Source organism: Homo sapiens, chromosome 1 (assembly GCF_000001405.40).
Source record: "Homo sapiens chromosome 1, GRCh38.p14 Primary Assembly".
Taxonomy (NCBI): Eukaryota; Metazoa; Chordata; class Mammalia; order Primates; family Hominidae; genus Homo; species Homo sapiens.
Window position 1 is genome coordinate 206,696,865 of NC_000001.11, and position 20,451 is coordinate 206,717,315.

Below are 20,451 nucleotides of genomic sequence, written 5' to 3' on the forward strand. Positions count from 1 at the left end.
TGGGATAGTACTGGGCTGTGCTCTCTGAGACTGAGCTGGGGTAGAGTGATGATCTCTCACATTGTCTGTTCTCATTCTTCTGCTGCTGAAAAGCTGCTCTTAGTCTTCTGAGCATTTCTTCCCTCTACCCACTTGGATCTGCTGACTCAAGCAGGCACCTTCTATTTCTGCTTACAGAGTTCTCATTCTTACAAGGACCCTGACCACAGTTTCTCATTGATGCCTCTCCTCCTTCTCCCTGTTCCAAGGCCCCTCCTATTCCTGTTCAGTCATGGAGATGACCCTTTTGCCCTTTGGAGAACTTTAACTGAGGGAGGGACAGATGTGGAGCTTGCCAACTTTCCTACAGCTCCTGGCATTTTCTAGTTAGCTACAGACACGGCACAGACACACAGATGCAGTCCATTGTTTTCTATCTGCTGGTCCTGCTCCTGTGTGTTGCAAGAGGGACGAGTGTTAAACACTGTATTAGTCCATTTTGTGTTGCACTAAAGGAGTATCTGAGACTGGGTAATTTATAGAGAAAAGAGGTTTATTGCTCACAGTTCTGCAGGCTGTACAAGGATCATGGCACCAGCATCTGCTTCTGGTGAGGACCTCAGGAAGCTTTTGCTCATGGGGGAAGTTGAAGGGGGAGCAGGCATGTCACATGTCGAGAAGAGGGAGCATGGGGGTGGGGGAGGCCCTCGACTCTTTTTAACAACCAGATCTTCTATGAACTCAGAGCGAGAACTCACTGCCACAAGGAGGGCACCAAGCCATTCATGAGGGATCTGCCCCCAAGACCCAAACATCTCCCACCGGGCCCCACCTCCAACACTGGGGATCATACTTCAACATGAGATTTGGAGGGGCCAAATATCCAAACTATATCAAGTACCCAGTTGCTGGGACTGAGGTCAAAGGTTTGAACCTCATGGGGCTGCTTAACTCCATGCCACAACAGATTTACACAAGAAAGAGAACCTGACACTAGACTGGAATCTGGGAGACCTGGCTACTAACTCTACCTGTGTGGCCCCAAGCAAGTCCTAGGACCTGTCTGGGCCTCACTCAGTTTCCTCATTGTAAATCAACAGGACTAGACTTGACCTTGAAGGACTCCTGCACCGAAAGCCTTTCATCACTGTTGTTGCATCCGCACTGCTGGGAAAATAACCTGATGCTGGGAAACAAGTGGTCGGCCTGGGTCCCAGGGAGCCTCGGGGACTAAGAGCCATCATCTCTGTCCTCAGTTTCTGCAGGACAGTGTTACTTCACCTTTTTCCTGGCTGCAGTGTTTTTATTCATTCAGCCAATGTTTATAAATGTTTATTGTTCTCCATGCCTGCCTCCTGTCTTCCCTGCTGACTGGCCATCAGGAGGCCCAGATGGCAGGATTAGCTTGGAATGGCAGAACAGTCAAGGGTCATCCTCTTGGGTTTAGACCCCTTTAATACCTCTGCTATATGAGATGAGAAGAATTTAGAACATTGATCCTTCCAGCAGCTTAGACTAGACCCCTGCCTTTCTAAGCAGGATTTGCCTGTGGGTACCTTCTATACCCTTGAGATCCAAAGCAACTTACTACTCAAGAAAATTAATTAGCAATGCCAAGAGTGACTTGTACAGCTCCCCTAAGGATAGCTCAAAACAGCAGATAGACTTTGATACAATATAACAAATTTCTATTATTCAGATCACTGTAGGAAACTTAGCAACTCTGTGAAGGTTTCCCAGATTAATAACAAGTCTTTATTGAGCAGATACTATGTATCAGGCATTGTGTTAGGTGTTTTACTTACATTCTTGTTAATCCTTAAAATAACCCTTTTACTGCAAAGTGAAAGTCCCCATTTTACAGAAGAAACATGTTCATGTACAGAATAATTCCTTAGCAATTATTTATTGAGCACCTACTAAGTGCTAAGCATTATCTTGGGCTCTGGATATACATCAGTATATAAAACAGACAAAAAAGCTATTTGGGGGGTGGGAAGGGGGACCAGGTAGAGGAATAGCAAGTGCAAAGGCAAAAGCCTGAGGCTTATTAATAAGTGTGTCTAACTCTAAAACCTAGGCTCCCTCCAGCTCACAGTATTGCCTCTCTAATGGTCCTTTGTGACTCCATTATAATTGGGTACTTAGATGACCTAGCAATTTTAAGTTTATCCAATATTTATGGGATACTTATTTTGTGCAAATTGCTACGATGAGATGAATAAGTTGTAGGCCCTGCCTTTGGAAACATACAGTTTAGAGGAACGAACACCCGTGTGTATAAAAATGAATGAAAGAGGACTTCCTCTCAAAATCCAGATCTTACCATTTCTTGCATTTTTGTCATTTGACCCTTGTAGGCCAGATGGTGTGGTTCCTCGTTTTGTATCTGAAGGAAGAGTTTCAGGGAGTGGGTGGGGGTAAGTGTCTGGGCACCAGGGTGGCCAATAAAGGATGCAGAGACACATGATGGGCTCTTCAAGGTGGGAGGAAGTAGAGGGTGGGATCACTGCCTGGCATGGGCAGAGGATACTTCATGGACATATACCTGTGACACAGCCAGGGGAGGGTGCAGATGAAAATACGTCCAGTGGGATGGTTTCTAAGGAGAAGTGTGAGGGACTCCACTGGGGCTCCGTATTTTGTCTGGCTGAGGAGGGAGAGATGCTGCCTCTCCAGGAATCTGGTAATAGGCAATGCTTGAGATTGGTGTGAACCAACGCATCACATAGAGCCAGGAGAAGTCACGAAGGAGGCAAGAAAAAGAAATGGCTGGGCTAAAGCTGTGGCAGAGCCCTTTTTATCCTCCTTTGGGCCCTCATATGGCTTCTCTTTTGGTCTGAAGAATCTCATCCTTCTTGAGTTTAGCCTTCTAGGTGAAGGAGTGGGCAGACTGCATGCAGGGAGACAGGGAGGCCGTGTTTGTGTCCTTCAGCTCAGGAGCTGAGAGAACAGAGGTCAGGGCTTGGGATGGAGCTGACCGTTAGTGCAGATGGGAAAGTGAAGCAATGGGTCGGGTCTGTTTGTTCCTGAGCATGTCCTGTGACAAAGGAAGTTGCAACATGTCTGTCTGTCTTTCTCTCTCTTTTTCTTTTCTCCTTTCTTTTCGTTTCTTTCTCTCTCTCTCTCTTCTTTTTTTCTCTTTCTTTCTTCTTCTTACTTTTTTTTTTTTTTTTTTTAAATAAAGAAAGAAGCAGGTAAAACCATCTTCCAGAAAATGCCAGAAAGAATATCTGGTCTGTGATGGGTGGTTCTTGCCCCTCCCGCTGCAATGCTTTTCCTGTGTAGTTTTTCTTTTGTCCTTCCTTTCCCATCCACACTTTCCACTCTCCTTTCCTCTGAGAGGTTGTGTCTCTGCAGCAGGCCAGCTATGTCTCCAAAGGGAAGTAGTCAGTGCTTGGACTGAGGGAACCTTGAGAGAGAATCCTCTCCTTTGTCCTCCAGGTGAGAGAGCTGTTGCATCCACTCACACCTGGAAGGTTGCTGGTCTCCTCTCGCTGGACACTGAGAGCTGTTTAAATTTGACAGGTGGTTCCTGATTCCCACCTGGCATTTTTTGCTGCTGCACAGGTCTGTGTTGTGTCTTAGAAGGCTGAGGGAATACTTACTTCTCAACTCAGATAACCACCTTGTTGGTAGGTTCAGTGTGTGTCTGTGTCAAGGCAGATGCTGGGAAAAAAGGGCCCAGAATGTGAGTGGGAGGTAGAAATCAAGGCTAGAAGACCACACATGTTAATCTGGAGTACTTGGTCAGGTTTGATTTTGGCCTGTGTGCTATAGCTGGGCAAGAAGCCAGTTGTGTTTGGAAATGTACAGATGATCTATTTTCCTGATGAAACCTTTTGAGGTCTGGAATAAACATAGCTTGCTTTCTCTCTTTCCCTCTTTTGAGATTCAATTTCTCTCCCTTGGACTTCTATACCCTAGTAGAGCCAAAAGTTCCAGTACAAACCAGTTTTGAGACTCCAGCATTAGTCAACTAAGGGATGTTGTAGGTCATCCCTGAGAACGAGGGCTGCTTGCTCTGGGGAAGCTGGGAAATGGCACCAGGTGTCAGGCCCTACTGCCCAGGATGGGATGACAGCTGCTGGTGTTAATTACGTTTCTGGGCAGAACAGGGTAAAGTCCTTGGGGGTGAGAGTTTTTGTTTAGGCACTGTGTTCCCTGTACCTGTTGCCTCTGGTACAGCTGCTGCAGAGCCCCTCCTTGCCTGCAGTCTTCTTTGAATTTAATCTCCCTGTGATCCAGTGCATCTCTTCAGACTGGAGGTGAGCCCAGAGGAGTGGTGGAGGGAGTGGGGCCAGAATTTACTTGTTTGCCTGGATCCCACTGAGAATACAGAAGCTCTCTTTCACGAGAAGCTGTGCTGGCCTCTGTGGTACCCACTGGCCATATGTGACTATTAAAATTGAAATTAAGTGTTAATAACATTTAAAATTCAGTTCCTCAGTAGTGCCAGCCACATTTTAAGTGCTCAGTGGTTAGCTAGTGGCCACGGTTTTATGTGGCACAGATAGAGAACATTTTATCATCACAGAATAGTCTCTTAGACAATGCAAGATTCTGAGATAATTTTTCTAATCCTGGTAGACACTTAGCTGGAAGGGGATTTGAGGAAGGGTACAGGGAGAGGTTTTGAAGCCCAGGTGAGAGGGCAAGTAGAAGGTATTCATTTAGAAAAGGATCTTAAAAAGTATTTAGTTTGTAGGGCCAGGTGCAGTGGCTCATACCTATAATCCCAGCAGTTCATGAGGCTGAGGCAGGCAAATTGCTTGAGCCCAGGAGTTCGAGACCAGCCTGAGCAACATGGGGAAACACTGTCTCTACAAAAAATACAAAAATTAGCCTGGCGTGGTGGCGTACACACATGGTTCGATCTACTCAGGAGGCTGAGGTGGGAGGATCACTTGAGCCTGGGAGGCCAAGGCTGCAGAGAGCCGTTATTGCACTGCACTCCAACCTGGGCAACAGAATGAGACCCTGTCTCTAAAAAAAAAAAAAAAAAAAAAAAAAGAGGAGTTCACCTTGTTGAGGACTACATCCTAAGAGATGGTCACCTGGCCCAGTGGCTCCCAAACCAGGATGATTGTTAGACTCACTTGTGGGTAGCATTTCAAGATACAGATTCCTGGGCACCACTCTTTGTGTCTAGTTGAATCCAAGACTCTTCAGAGGAGGTAACCTGGAATGTGCATTTTTAATGTGCTCCCCAAGTGATAATTATCTGGGTTTGGCAACCACCAACCTATCATACCTGTGCTTAAATTCTTCCAATGGTAAGGAGCTTATCCCTTTTCAAGAAAACCTTACCATTAAGGAAAAATTCGCTGTTGTTAAAGTTCTATGTTTTTCGAATCTTGAGATTTGGTTCTTTGAGGTCATGAAATCCTTTGGTGCTCATTGCATCTTTAGAGCCTCGCAGAACCGTCATCTTCATCCTTGCACTCAGTCTTCAGCAGATATTTGAGGGCAGCTGTGGTGTGGTCCCTGCCACTCCAAGTCATGGCATGCGTCAGAGTGCTTGATCTGCCAAGGGCTCTAGGGAGATGCAGAGATGCAACATCATTCCAGGATCCTTCCAATTGTCAGGCCTTGCTGAGAGCCAGAGGAAAGGTCTGAATCTCAGTGGAGCCCTACAGGGACAGCCCAAGGGCCATCCAGCCGGTGAGGGCCATGTGTGTGTCTGCCTCTCTGCATCCTGCTCCGTAGGGAAGAGTCCCTGCTTCTTTGCATGTTAGCACTTGTTAACACCGACCTGGTTTTCTTCAGAGACATTGAGAGATTCAGCCATCCATTCCCGGTAATGACAGATGTCATTTCTGTTTAGAGACCTTCAGTAGCCTCCCTTCACTTCCAGTGTAAAATTCAAACTCCTGAACGTGGCATTCAAGCAAGCTGGTTTGTCCTGCCTTCCACACTTTGCCTTCCAGGAGAGCACTCCTTCCCGCTCTGCCTTGCATTTATCTGCTTCCACATCTTCTCTTGGATCTTACATTTGCTTATCTTCAGTTTTTTCTGGTAGAACTGTATTTATCCTTCAAGGCTCATAATAGATTTTACCCCCTTACTCCCCTGCCCAATTCCAGGCAGAACTGCCTCCCTCCTCTGCCCTAGTGAGGGTTCATTCTGCCTGCATGACTGCTATGCACTCAAATTACAGCCCCCTGCCAGGCCCTCCCTGCTAGACCAAGCTCCTTGCGGACAAGAACTATGTCTTACTTGGCTTGATATCCCCAAGTGCAAGCAAGCACCAGTGCTGGAGCCTCCTTTTCCTGCATTGGCATTCTTACCCTCAGTGGCCCAGAGCTCATCAGCTCCAATGAGAAAAGTGCTACTTAGCAGCTGATAATTAACAGACAGGACGTGAGGTTTGGCTACTTCAGAGGCAAAACTGGTATTTAAACAATAAGGTTTTTAAAAATCAAGCATTAAAGTGTCAGCTTCAGAAGCAGCTACTTCCAAACATAATCCTGCCCAGTTAGAGAAGACAAATGGAATAATGAGTGGAACCAAAGATTTCTCTCTAGCCTTGAGAAGAGTTCAGGGGAAAGAGGCCTGGGTGGCGTATTGGCAGGAGATTGGAAAAGGGGCCTTCATATTTCTTTTCTCTGGAATGGGGCTGGGGCTGCTTGGAGAGCAGGTGGGAGGTGCTTCCTTAGAAAGGGCTGTCTGTGTTCTCTTCCATTCCCAATTTCTATAGATTGGACTAGTTTTGCCAAGTGAGCAAGCAAGAAAAATTGGGAAACAGAGGGTAGGCATCAACCCTGGCATTTATCCTAAGGTGATGCAGCACACACTTGTATTCAGCGATAGAGACTTTTCCGTAATGCCTGGTAATATCTCATTGTATTTTCTTTTGATGCTCCTGGGGGCAGGAGGGGAGAGCTGACATCAGAGCCTCCTCCCTTCTAGATCACAACCAGAGCATGAGGAATTCCCCAGCCCCTTGAGGTACCCAGACACTAACCACAATCTCCATCTCTGCTGAAGGCGTTGTAAGAAACATGCAGGCCAGGAACAGTCAGTGGCTTCAGAGCAGGGGCAGCCTGCTAAAGAGGCAGAGGCTTCTTGTGAGGGCGGGGAGCTTGAGAGTGCCCTGCACCCCATCCTGGGGGAGGTGAGCATCTGCTTCTGGGTTCAGCTGCCTGCGGAAGTCAGTGGGAGACACCCTTTCAGGGTCTGCTTCATTATGAATGAAGCAAAAAGCCTATCCCAGGAAATCACAGAGGCTGATGGGTATACCCCAGGGTACACAGGCTATATTTTTCCAATCCAAAGTGAGGGTCTATCTGATAGTTTTTCCTGGAGTTGGGGAGGGGTCCTACTTTCAGATCCAAAAGAAAATCTGAGATATGTCATTTGAATATGAACGCACTAGACTTTCTGGGAAATGTTGAAGATTTACGCCTGTCTGAGTGTCTCTCACTCGTTGTTACCTGTCCATTTGTTACCTGGCCCACGGATGGAGGAGGTCGGATGGGGTCTCCCAGGGTCCCCTTGCTGGGCACGCTTGGCAGGCATCCTGCTTTTCCTTTCAGGTTGCTGGAATTAGTGGTGGTGGTGGCTCAGCTCACCCAGACCATGTGTGATGGTTATGGTGGTGACTTCTCACTGACTGCTGATGTGTACAGTACATTGAAAGCAGTCACCCAACTTCCTTTATAGCCGGATACAAAACAGTGCCTGAGGTCCAGGGTCGGGGAGGACTTGATGAGGGAATAAAACCAGCCGGCTCATCTAGGGGCTGATATCTGTCCGTGGTGACATAAGCACACATGATCTGCAGTCAAGGTTGACTTGAGGGTGTGCATGGGTTCAGTCCCTTTTATGAAGTCTAATGGTCCTTCCAGAAGCTTCATCATCATTTGAACTGAATAAGTGAAGATGAGTGCACCACAAGTGTGTGTGTGCACTTCTTAATCTGTCCATTCATCTGTTCACTGCAGGCTTATTGAGGGAGAAACATGTAAGCAAGGTATTTCTTGTGTACTCCAAGTGGTAGGAGAGCTATGTTCAGGGAACTGGGTGAACTTGGAAGAAGGAGCCGCCCGTTTCTCCAAGTGCAGCGCCAGTCCCGAGACACTCTGTGATCATCTAAACTGGGGAACAGTCTGCAATGCACATTACTGAATTAAAAGCTCTGAGAAGTTCTACAGTGAAAGAATCTGTTTAACTTTGTTTAACCTGGTGCTTCTGCCATCTATATGACCCCTTTTTACTTAGCACTTATTAACATCCTACGGAATACTATTTGAGAAATGGCAACAGCCCCCCTTCTCTGGGAGAACTGTTCAGTGATTCAGAGCAAAAGTCACCTGACTCTGGGTCAGCACAAGTTGGAGAGGTTTGAAAAAGGTGTATGTATGTTTGCATGTGTATGTACGGTGGGTTGGGGGGAGGGGTGTGGCAGAGGAGGGGCCCCGGCAGGTGGCTTCTATTGAAATCAGCTCTGTCTGCCTCCCTGTTGGCTTTGTGCTTCTGGAGAAGCTTTTGTCCTGGCATGAAAACACTGAATAGCAGCTGCATCTGTCATGCCTGGGAAGCAGCAATGTGCAGCATGGGGTTGCATGAGTAGACACTCCTGCTGGAGGGCCAGGCTGCCGAGAGTGCCTGGGTATTGGACAAGGGAGAGGCTGGTGATTCTGAGGCAGCTGCTTGCTAATCCTGGAAGCAGAGGGGAACAAGATTTAGCTCCCTTATCTCTCTGCCTTCTCCTTTCCGATGGGTGCAATTGTGTTGACTCTTGAGGGACAGCCAGGAAGAAGCAGGTGGGCTGGATGCTTTCTCCTTTCTCCACCAACCCAAGGGCATCTGGAGGGTGGACCAGGGCAGAAAGGCGATTAGCTCTCCGTTACCCAGGGAGCTGAGACAAAGGCATTTTGGGTTAAATTCAAGGAGGAATTCAGAATTGTGAACTGGATTTATGGAAGTTTGTGGAGTTTGAAAATTCGAGAGTCCTGGCTGGACTTGTGCTTGGAACGTTGGTCGGAGGTGGATATGAATGATGGGTCCTGCAGATGGCCGACTCCTGAGAAATGACTGGGAGGCTTTACTGGATTTTTCGCTTGGAACAAACCCAGGCTTAGGGAATTCCCGGAGCCTGTTGCAGGCCTCAACACCCTTCTGGTGCAGCTTCGCTGTGAGGCAGTGGTTATTTCTCAGGAAACTGGCAACTGGGAGTAAATGGGAGTGTGGGGTGGGAATCAGCTACTCTTCCTGAGGATTATACACTTCCAGTGTAATTAAGGCGGGGTCAGGATTTCCTATCTCTTATTTATTTATTTATTTATTTATTTATTTATTTATTTATTTATTTGCTTAATCTTAAAAGGCTGCTTTTCCCCTCCTGGTCTTCCCACAGGGACAGGAGTTAGTCTGTTCCCAGAAGGAGCTAGGGGAGGTGTCCTTCATCTCCCATTCCTTCTTGCCCTCTCCCTGCCTTTCCCTGGCCACAGCCACAGAGACCCAGAGTCACTCAGATGGGGGAGGAGCAAAGCCAGTCCCTCTGATCATTGCCTCTTTGTTAGTGGAGAAAGGGCAGATGCTGCTCTGCAGTTATCCCGACCACCCTGCAGGACGTCTGGGTGGGCCGGGCTTTGGTTTGGGAATCGGGAGTATTAGCTGCAGCTGCCAACTGGGCTTGTACTTGCAGACTCCCAGGCTCCAGGCTCTCTGGAGGGGACCAGCAGCTCTGACCCCCGTGGGCTTGCTGTGGTCCCCAGGGAGCAAGCCCTTGCCAAGAACCTCTGAGCTCACCGAGGCGGGTATGGGGTAAGGATGGAGAAGGCCTGGGGAGCAGAAGTGTGCAGATGACTCCCTCCTTCCCCTCAGCTGGGTATGCATCACCGCTGCTGGGAAGACGTTCAGGCCACTTCTAGACAAATCGGTCATGATGGAAATTTTTTCTTGCCCGTGGGTGGGGCTTTACTTGTTCAGAAGTGGCTTCAGATGTGCTCTTTCTAGGTCCTGGCTTGAGTGCTGAGCATTTACCTGCAGCCCCTCGGGGCTAGAAGGCAGGGCAGTGTCTGAGCCCCTTCCCTACCCCTTGGGGCTAGAAGGCAGGGCAGTGTCTGAGCCCCTTCCCTACCCCTCATTCATTCTCTCCCCTCACCTGTCATTCCATCCGTCAGCCCCGAACAGCTTGGCAGCCTTGCGGCTCCAGCTGGAGCTTAGTAGGCATGTAGTTGGAGGAGGGAACGGCACTGCAGCCGCGCTCTTCTCTCTCCCACAGGTCTTCTTCTTGTTGGGCCTCCACTTCCTGTCAGGGCCCTGCTTGCAGCTGTGGCACATCTGGACCTAGACGGGGTATCCTGTTGTCCTGCATGATGAGGATCCCAGATTTCCCCTAGGTGATGACCACAGTCATTCCAGGGTGGGAGCAGGACTTCCCCCACCCCCAGGCACTCCAGAGACTTCCTCCAGGCCCCCACTAAGTAGTCTGTTCCCAACTCCATCTCTCCCCCATGGAGAATGGTGGGAAGGAAGTTCTGCCAGAGGTTGTTTTTGGTTTGTGAGGTAATAGACTTTGGTTTGAGAAACATACATCTCTCCCTCTTCTTTAAGATGTGAAGCCAGAAGCACCAGACTCTGGTTTCCTTGGAAACCAGAGCAGCAAAGGTAGAGAAAAAAGGGGCTGGTTGTAGGCACTGAAATTGGGGAGGATTCTCTGGATCCCAGCACTTTTCTGGGGAATCCACATGGTCTGCCCTGGGCCCTGGGTTGTAGCCCTCACTGTGTTAATGGACTGTGTAACCTTGGTAAAATGCCTGCAACTCTCTGCACCTTAGTTTCCGCCAAGATGCCTAAGGTGGGGAACATGTTGGCTCCACTCAGATTCTGTGCCCCAGAGACCTGCTGGGTGTGTGTGGGGGTTTGGGGGTAGGGCATGGGGCTCCTGCTCACTGATTTAGCATTTGCTGTGGCTAAACTACAAAGTGGACAGTCCACATGGAGACAGTTGAGAGCTACTTGCACCCAGGTCCTTTCTTTGAGAATACAGTGATGTAACAGGAGACTTCTTGCATTTTGCCTATGTGAAACCAGCTGGATTTTGCTGAAGCTGTAATTGTGTCTCTACATTCTTTGATTCCTGTCTAAAAAAAATGGTTTCCACAAATGCTGTGAAGAATAGACTGACAGAGCTGGAAAGCGTTAAGTAGGGATCCTTTAAACAGATCCCTACATTGTACATTGATCCCTTCAACCACAGCCAGAGAGGGGCAGGGACTTACTTGCTCTGATCACACAGTCAGAACAAGAACTAACAACAGTAAAGGTCTGGGTAGCAGCCTCACATATGCTAAGATTCCCTGTTGGCTAAGTTTGTCTGTTCCCAGGTCACCCTGGCCTTTTGCAATTCTGCCCTCCGCAGGCCCCTGTGTTGGCTGAAACCAGCCCTCTTCTTCCCCTTGCGCTTTCCTCCTGTGACCTCCCAGCCACCTCTTGTTTCCCCTGTGGTGTTCCCCACCTGTTGTTACTTCCTATTCCTCCTCACAACTTTTTATTATGAAACATTTCAGATGTGCAGCAAACTGGAAAGAATTGTACAGTGAACATGATTATACCAAACCACCTAGATTCAACCATTAGCCTTTTACTATGTTTACTTTATCATGTCTCTACGTGTTTCAATCTCTCTATCCATTGACCAGTCCATCTTATTTTGGGGATGCATTTTGTAGTAAATTGCAGACATCAATGTACTTTACCCCTAAACATCTCAGCATACATAGGCATTAATTTGAGTTCAATATTTGTTCATGCATTTTTTTGATGATAATATTTATATTAACAGTGAAAAATGCACAACTCTTAAGGTATCACCTGATAAGCTTTGATAAATGCCTCTATCTGTGCAACCCAAACCTCTGTCAACTATAGAACAAAAAGTTTTATTACCTAATTAATTCCCTCGTGTTGTTTCCCAATCATCCCAACACATACCCCCTCGCAAGTGATCACAGTTCTGATGTTTTCTCACTGTAGATTAGTTTTGCTTTTTCTGGAACCTCATATAAATGGGATAATCAGTATGAACTCTCCCTTTTGTGTGAATTTCATCTGCATGGTGACATGTATCAGTAGTTTGTTATGCTGAGCAGTATTCCATTGTATAGATATGATAAAATTTGCTTCTCCATTCCCCTGTTGATGGACATTTGGGCTGTGTCCAGTTTTGGGCTATGATGAATAAAGCTCCTGTTAACATTCTTGCACAAATCTTGTTGTGGATGTAATGTTTTCATTTCTCCTGGGTAAACAACGAGGAGTGTGATTGCAGAGTTACAGGAGGCTGTTACTTATTGTTCCTATCTGACTCTCTGCCCTGCCCTCTCATTGTACTGTGCACCCAATTATTTTAGGACTGTTATCACATCCAGTCCCTCAGTTGCTCCTTCAGGGTTTCTCTTCTTCCGGCAATTCACCCTAGTTTATTGAACTGTTGCTCTTATGTTATGCTCCTCAGATCTTTTATATCCTGGTTGTCCTCCTCTGGAAGTATAATACTCTTTTACAGATGTGTTGCCCAGAACTGAGTTCTCGCTGCTCGATGTGATCTACATGTGGATTCTAGGTATGGGAGAAATATAGAGTGTGGGTGCATTTGGATCCCTGTCTTGAGCTAGGTACTTGATCTGTGAGCTGAAGGAAATATTAACTTTTTGGCAGCCACGTCATGGCATCAGATCAGATGAGTTAATGTTTGTAAAAATACCACAAATCTAAGGTCATATTAAGATATCCATTCAGCTTGAAGTCAGTCCGAGCCTCTGATACTAATGGCATTTATTATGAACTTTCTACTTGCCATTGTGTCATTTAGTTTTTGCCTACCACTTGGTGAGAAAGGTACTATTCAAATTAGCTTAATAAAAACTCCTTGATTTAAAACTAGGGTACTTAGCTTTGGCACTGTTGACCTTTTGGACCAGATAAGCCTTTGTTTGTTGTGGGGGATTGTCCTGTGCTTTGTAGGAGTTAGCAGCATCCCTGGCCTCTACCCACTTGATGCCAGTTGCAACCATCTATCTACCCATGCCCCCAAGTTATGACAACAGAAAATGCCTTCAGACATTGCCAAACGTCCCCTGGGGGGCAAATTAACACCAGGTTGAGAACTATTCCCAAGGTGTAGAGCTTAGTCACCGAGAAAAAATTTAAACAATATAGCTCTTCCTGAAAGGTAATCACTGCCAGCTCTTTAGCATATATACTTACAGATTATGCTCTTTCTATGGACAGTCCTCATTTTTCATGGTTCTAATCTGTGTGAATTTCAGTTACTATGGTTTGGTTAAATAACATCAGTCCTCGAAGAATTTGGCTCAAATTTGAGTTGCCAGGATATATGTATTACAAGTAACTGCATGCAGTACAAACTTTGCTGTTAGCTCTTCAGTCCACAGATCACTATGTACATAACAGATGCTCTTCATGGTCACTGACTAATCATGTTTCTTCTTGAAGAGTCTTTTGGTGATTGGTCACTGCCTATCTGTTCACTTCACACGCAGACAGGAAAGTGTGTAGTTGTGTTGCCTCCCTGTCTCCTAGTGAGAAACTCGTGACATTTTACAAAAATGGACAATTGATGAGGGAATTGGCCAAGAAAGATGAAATTTCAAATGAAATGTGGTAATGCTGGTAGTGAATTTCAAGCCAAACGTAATGGAATTATATAGACTAGATAGCTGACTGTGGGAATGTCAACACTGTCACTGTTCAAGACTACATATACAGCCTGGGAAACTCAGTGAAGGTGGCATGTCAGCATAAATGAGGAAAGTGGTTTGATGAAAAGGATGAAGAGGTCCCAGAGGAGGTGACACTGCAGAAGGAAACTTCACATTAAAGGCACCTTGAAGATATTTCACAACATCGAAAGTGCAAAGGATAAAACGTTAGAAGCAGATCCAAACTTAGAAAGGAGTATGACAATTTGCAAAGGCATATGAAAGATACTCATTCCATATTGGATGTTAAACAACAAGAAGGCAAGTGCTGTTCAAATTACTCTGGATAAGGTTTTTACAAAGCAATAAAACACTCATTCTCAGTGACTCTAATGTTTTAGAGTATACACAATAAATAGTTTTACTGTTTTCTCATTTCCTTATTTATAATTTGACAGCAAGAGAGTTTTTAATGTTTTGACCGAAATTTTTAAATGTCGTGGAAAAATCATAATTTTCCTCATTGGTGATTAGGGTTGCTTTGCATGGTCATTTTTATGGTTCCGCATTACTGTGCAAAGCAAGAGCTGCCTGTATTTACAAAAAGTGTGGGTGAATACACATGCACACATGCACACACCATGCTTTTTCTCTTTTTAAAACATTTTACAAAATGGGATCAGACTATATGTATCAAATTACAACTTGCTTTTTTCATGGAAGTTTTTTTTGTTTGTTTGTTTGTTTGTTTTTGAGACACCATCTCTCTGTCGCCCAGGCTGGAGCGCAGTGGCGCTATCTCAGCCCACTGCAACCTCCACCTCTCGGAGTTCAAGTGATTCTCATGCCTCAGCCTCCCAAGTAGCTGGTACCACAGGTGCGTACCACCACACCCAGCTAATTTTTGTGTTTTTAATAGAGATGGGGTTTCGCCATGTTGGCTAGGCTGGTCTCGAACTCCTGACCTCAAGTGACCCACCCACCTCGGCCTCCCAGAGTGCTGGGATTACAGGTGTGAGCCACTGTGCCCAGCCAGAAGAATGTATTTTTGAAGAACTTTTGATTTCAGTATGTCTTAATCTACCTCATTCTTTTTTTTTTTTTTTTTTTTTATGTTTTTGAGACAGGTCTCACTCTGTCCCCCATGCTGGAGTTCAGTGGTGTGATCTCTGCTCAGTGAAACCCCTGCCTCCCAGGCTCAAGTGATCCTCATGTCTCAGCTTCCCAAGTAGCTAGGACTACTGGCCTGTGCCACCACACCCAGCTAGTTTTTTCTGTATTTTATTCGTAGAGACAGGGTTTTGCCATGTTGCCCAGGTTGGTCTCAAACTCCTGGGCTCAAGTGATCCATCTGCCTCGGCCTCTCAAAGTGCTGGGATTACAGGTGTGCGTCACTGTGCCTGGCCCCGTTGTCTATTAACAGCTGTTTAGTTTATTTCCTTCTGTCCCCTAATTTGAAATAATGCTAAAGTGAATATTTTTGATGGATACTATCATAAACTCCATTTAATCGATGAGTTCAATGGAGATTTAGAATGTGAAGTAACTGGCTAAGGTCAGGCAGCTACTAAGCTTTAGAGCTGGTGTTTGAACTTGGGGCAGTGTAATTTCAGAGCCCTTGCAATCACAATGCTTTACACCTTCTCTTCCTTGTTCTTAGAAGCAGCTTTTAACAACGACAACAAATAATAAAAAAAAGATCTTACTGAGTCAGGTACAATTCTAAGTGCAATTATATTGTTATTATTCACTAAATAACAACCTGCGAGTTAGATAATGTTGTTATCCCTGTATTACAGTGAAGGAAACCGGAGGTATAAGAAGGTTAGGAAAGGTGCTCAGGGCCCACAGCAGTTTAATGGAGGAGCTGGGACTGCCCCCATGCAGCCTGGCTTCAGAACCTTGGCTCTCATTCATGTTATAAAGATGTGACTAGAGAAAAGTCTCTTTCATCCTGTGCTGTTGAAGATGGGTTTTTTTGTTGTTGTTGTTGTTAGTTTTGGCGTATATTTTCTCCTACTGTAATCTTTTAAAAATCTACTACCTAGCACAGACTGCCTCTCCCATTGTTTTCTTAGGGGGTGTCACTTGGAAGTTTGATAAGCTTACTGCCTACTATGTCTTTAGTCAGCTTGTTGGTAAAATATTAATACTAGGCAAAGCCAGTCTGGTGTGGTGGCTCATGCCTGCTGTAATCCCAGTATTTTGGGAGGCCGAGGTGGGTGAATGACTTGAGGTCAGGAGTTTGAGACCAGCCTGGCCAATGTGGTGAAACCCCATCTGTACTAAAAATATAAAAATTTGCTGAGTGTGGTGGTGGGCGCCTGTAGTCCCAGCTACTCAGGAGGCTGAGGCACGAGAATCTCTTGGACCCGGGAGGTGGAGATTTCAGTGAGCTGAGATCGTGCCACTGCATTCCAGCCTGGGCGACAGAATGAGACTCCATCACACACACACACACACACACACACACACACACACACACACACTAATAGGTTTGCCACTGAAGTTGTTCTTTGGGTTTAGTCAACAAGTAGATACTTATTGAACACCTCCTAAATGCCATGTACCGGGTCTAGGATTTGAAATCAAAAGATGAACAAGACATTGTCCCAGCTTCCAAGAGGTACATGGTCCACAGTGAAAAGAGAAACCGTTTTATAAATCCCACTGGTGAGTGCTGAAGTAGGAGTTTAGCAAGAGTCTGTGGGCACAGAGAGGCAGAGGGGCTGACTCTGCCTGGAAGTGGTCAGAGAGGCTTCACAGAGGAGGTGACATTGCCATGGTTCTTACAGACGTGAAGTCATGACAAGGCCTGGCTTGCCTGAGGTCAGGAAGTGCATTGTAGCTTCAATATAGGGGATGTGTTGGGAGGTTAGGGTAGCGATGATGTGGATAGGAGCTAGGGAAGACTAAGTTAGGGAATTTGGATTTTATCATGTCAGCCAGTGGAGATGTTTAAGGAGGAAAATGTCCTGCTCAGCTTTGCCTTTCAGCATGTGACCCAAGATGTACTGGGATGGAGTACGTCTCCCTTCTAGAAACCAGTTAGAAAACACAGAAGAGTAGGCCAGGCATGGTGGCTCATGCCTGTAATCCTAGTACTTTCGGAGGCCGAGGTGGACAGATCACTTGAGGTCAGGAGATTGAGACCAGCCTGGCCAACATGTGAAACCCCGTTTCTACCAAAAAATAAAAAGTTAGCCAGGCGTGGTGGTGTATGTCTGTAGTCCCAGCTAGTCAGGTGCTTGAGGTGGGAGAATTGCTTGAACCCAAGAGGCGGAGTTTGCAGTGAGCTGAAATCATGCCACTGCACTCCAGCCTGGGGGACAGAATGAGACCCTGTCTCAAAAAGAGAAAGCACACAAGAGAAAAGGGGCTGCAACCCAGTAAGCGATAGCAGGACTGGAAAAGGAAAGATGGATTTGGGAGATCTTCCCAGAGACAAAATTGGATTGCTTCTGTGGGTGACGGAGGGAGAGAGTCTGAGGATGAGTACTCAAGATTTATATCTGGGAGCCTGGCTAGATAGTGATGTCATTGCCGTTTACTGAGATCCGGGAGCAAATTCAAAGGGGCCGTGAGTTCAGTTTGGTGCCTGTTCAGCAGCCTGTCCTAGATCCACCAAACAGCACTTTATTACTGGCCATTTATAACAACTGCAAATATTATCTAAATGCTTTGTCATCTCACTGCCTCCTCCTTTGTCATCCCTAAGGTCTGGGCAGGAGACTGTGTTCATATACTTCATAGAGGTCCAGACCCCTTGCGTCTGGCATTCCTTTGGTCTATAATTCAGTAAACTCTGCTAAAAAGGAAACGAGACTAGCTTGCTGTGGCCTCTTAAGCGACCCAGGGTAGCTTGTGATGGTTCAGATTATGATTTGTTCTAGAGCTTTTCCAGAGGCAGATGTTGAGGAGTTTATCCTATTTGTCCCCTTCCCTTTAAACAAACAAAAGTGCCGGCTGGACGCAGTGGCTCATGCTGGTAATCCCAGCATTTTGAGAGGCTGAGGCAGGCGGATCACCTGAGGTCAGGAGTTCGAAACTAAGCCTGGCCAGCATGGTGAAACCCTGTCTCTACTTAAAAAAAAAAAAATTAGTTGGGTGTGGTGGTGGGAGCCTATAATCCCAGCCACTCGGGAGGCTGAGGTGGGAGAATTGCTTGAATCTGGGAGGTGGAGGTTGCAGTGAGCTGAGATCACACCATTGCACTCCAGCCTGGGTAGCAGAGTGAAACTCGGTCACAAAAAAAAAAAAAAAAAGAAGTCCCAACCCCCCAGTTTTTTATATCCTCTTAGTCATCATAGTTTATTAACAGTTTTGTTTACATATTGCTTCTTTTTCCCTCTTGGCTAGACTGTGAACCTTGAAGCCCTGTGAGCTTGGTCTAGTGCCTGGAGCATTGTGGGTACCAGGTTTCGAGAGAATGTGTGCTGCCAGAAAGCAGATCTTTGCCACCTCCTCTCCCCTCAGCTCCTGAACCACTGCCAGCAGTGGTTCTGGAATCAACCTGTACTTTCCTTCTGCATCCTGGGATGTAATTCTGGGTGATTGTAAGTTGGTTTATGGTCTAGCTTAGAATTGAGGCTTCTCTTGAGAGAGAGCATGTGTGTAAATGTTTAGCTTGTTCTAGTCTGTGGAGCATTCTCCTTCATAGAAAAGATGGGAAATACTGGAGATGAAAATTCTCCATTCTCTGTCATTTTGTGTGTTAGAGTCTCTGTCCCCATCCCAGGGCCACTTCCTCCCTGGTTCTTCTTATGGCTTTGGATGTAGCTTGAAGACATGCTCCTAGCATTTTCACAAGCTCTGCTTGTTGTGTTTAGTGAGCGCAGACTACTCCCTTCGGGCCTGTCCTGGCTCATGGGCAGTTGCTCGTGTCTTTGCACACATCCTTTACTGTCTCAGCTCTTCACTTCTCCCTGACATTTGTGGCTGCCTCCTCCTGGTTTCTTCTTTAAGCGATTATTGTGTTTTAGATGATCAGAATTCACTTTTTAGAGACTTGGACCTTGTCTTTCAAAATGCATTCCCTTTTGGGATCTCTGCCCATCATACTCCTTGGTCTCAACATCTAAATATTGGTTTTTTTTTTCTTTTTCTTTCTTTCTTTTTTTTTTTTTTTGAGATAGGGTCTCACTCTGTTGCCCAGGCTGAAGTGCAGTGGTACGATCATTGGCTCACTGCAGCCTTGACCTCCTGGGCTCAGTGATCTTCCTGCCTCAGCCTCCTGAGTAGCTGGGGCCACAGGCTAGTGCCACCATGCCCTGCTAATTTTTTAAATTATTCATAGAGACGGGGTCTCCCTGTGTTGCCCAGGCTGGTCTTGAACTCCTCCTTCTCCTTTTTGTATCCTCTTAGTCATCAAGCCATCCTCCTGCCTCAGCCTCCCAAAGTGCTGGGATTTCAGTGTGATCCACTGCGCCTGACCTGAATATTGGTTTTTTTGAAGTCTAGGCTAAACAACTGTTTTTGTCTCAGTTTTTTTTTTTTTAATTTCCCTCCTTTGAACTCTGAATTGACAAGCTTACTTCCTCCCAATGTGGTGTTCTTGTTATTATTGTTTTTGCTAGCTGAAGTATTTTTTTTTTTTTTAAACATAATTTACTAGGTTTTTCTTCCTGGCCAGAAGTAAGTTCAGGGTAATAGTTCCCTTCCTTGTATCTTCAGCTGTGTGAGAGGTAATGTAGAGTGAGAATTTATTTATCAGGTGCCCTGCTCGTAGCAGAAGGCATGACCTCGACTTCTCTCTCACAGTGACCTTGTGTTTGTGTTGGTGGCTTGAACTCACTCTTGTGTCTGGGCCATTTCTCTCACTGTGTAGGAAAGAGTGGTTCCTGTCTTCTCCCTGGCCATGTAGTCTGCTGTGTGTCACCATAACAATCATCTATCTTCCGGTTCTTTTTCCTTCTCTCCTCACCCAGTTGTCTCCAGTCTTAGGCGTGTGGAATTGTGTACTGGGTGGGGGATGTGTGTGTGTGGGCCGCCCTCTTGATTTGTAGGATCCTTCTCTTCCTCCACATTCTCTGTCAACTCTCCTCCACCCCCTGTGAGATCTGTGGACTCAGGTATACGTTGCTGTGAGTCTCATTCTGCTCAGCTGGGGTGATGAAGGTGAGATTGCTTTTGTCGCTTCAAAGTAAAATTTTAGATTTGCTTTGGCAGCCGCACAGGGTCGTATGCATGGGGGCTGCTTAGGCCAGAGGCGCAGTGTTCCTGACCTCCTTCCGTCTTACTTTCTCTTGCTAGTTTGTCCATCTCTGTGGATTTTTTAAAGTAGATACTAGATACCTAGATACTACTAAGAACATGATCTTTCTCTTCTTGCCACTTGGATTTTAGCTTAAAGCCAACTTGGAACATTTAGGGTGTTTCCTTCCTACCACTGTCTGCCTGGTCTCCTAGGGAAAGATGCCTTGTATCTTGTTCTGGTGTACAGTCTGCCCATTTAATTGGTAAGTGTTTATTGTGACTCTTCTCTACTGGGCTCTGGCCCCAGGCCTGATGCGAATAGGGCAGGCCTGTGAACAGAGCAAAGACGAGTCACTTAGGAGGGGACGAGAGAGGCCAGCGGTAAACTAATATTACCAGCTCAGGGTTTATTTGTCAAAGCCTCCTTTGCTGTGAATAAAAGGTTAGATCTGAATTGGGTCTGAGTCCTGGCTTTATTACCTACTAGCCATGTGGCCTTGGGCAAATTATTAATACTTCCTTGGGCCTTGGTTGCCGCACCTGTACGATGGAGTCAGCAATGGATCCTGTTCTGTAGGGCTGCTAGGAAGCTTAAATATAGCAA

General features: G+C 46.2%; 1 protein-coding gene across 5 annotated transcripts in view, besides 2 other annotated features; it reads left to right on the forward strand.

The window, feature by feature from the left end:
* MAPKAPK2 (MAPK activated protein kinase 2) overlaps window positions 1-20,451 on the forward strand; it is a 49,377-nt gene that overhangs the window by 11,960 nt on the left and 16,966 nt on the right. The gene's annotated exons all lie outside the window — the stretch shown is intronic.
* Window positions 6,951-7,260: an enhancer, noted in NCBI's record as "active region_2412". NCBI's record gives its function as "activates an Ori minimal core promoter by ATAC-STARR-seq in GM12878 lymphoblastoid cells {active_cell/tissue: GM12878}" and the evidence as "EXISTENCE:reporter gene assay evidence [ECO:0000049][PMID:35858748]".
* Window positions 13,260-13,554: a silencer, noted in NCBI's record as "tiled region #3087; K562 Repressive DNase unmatched - State 14:Gen5'". NCBI's record gives its function as "represses a minimal TATA promoter and a strong SV40 promoter by Sharpr-MPRA in K562 cells {active_cell/tissue: K562}" and the evidence as "EXISTENCE:reporter gene assay evidence [ECO:0000049][PMID:27701403]".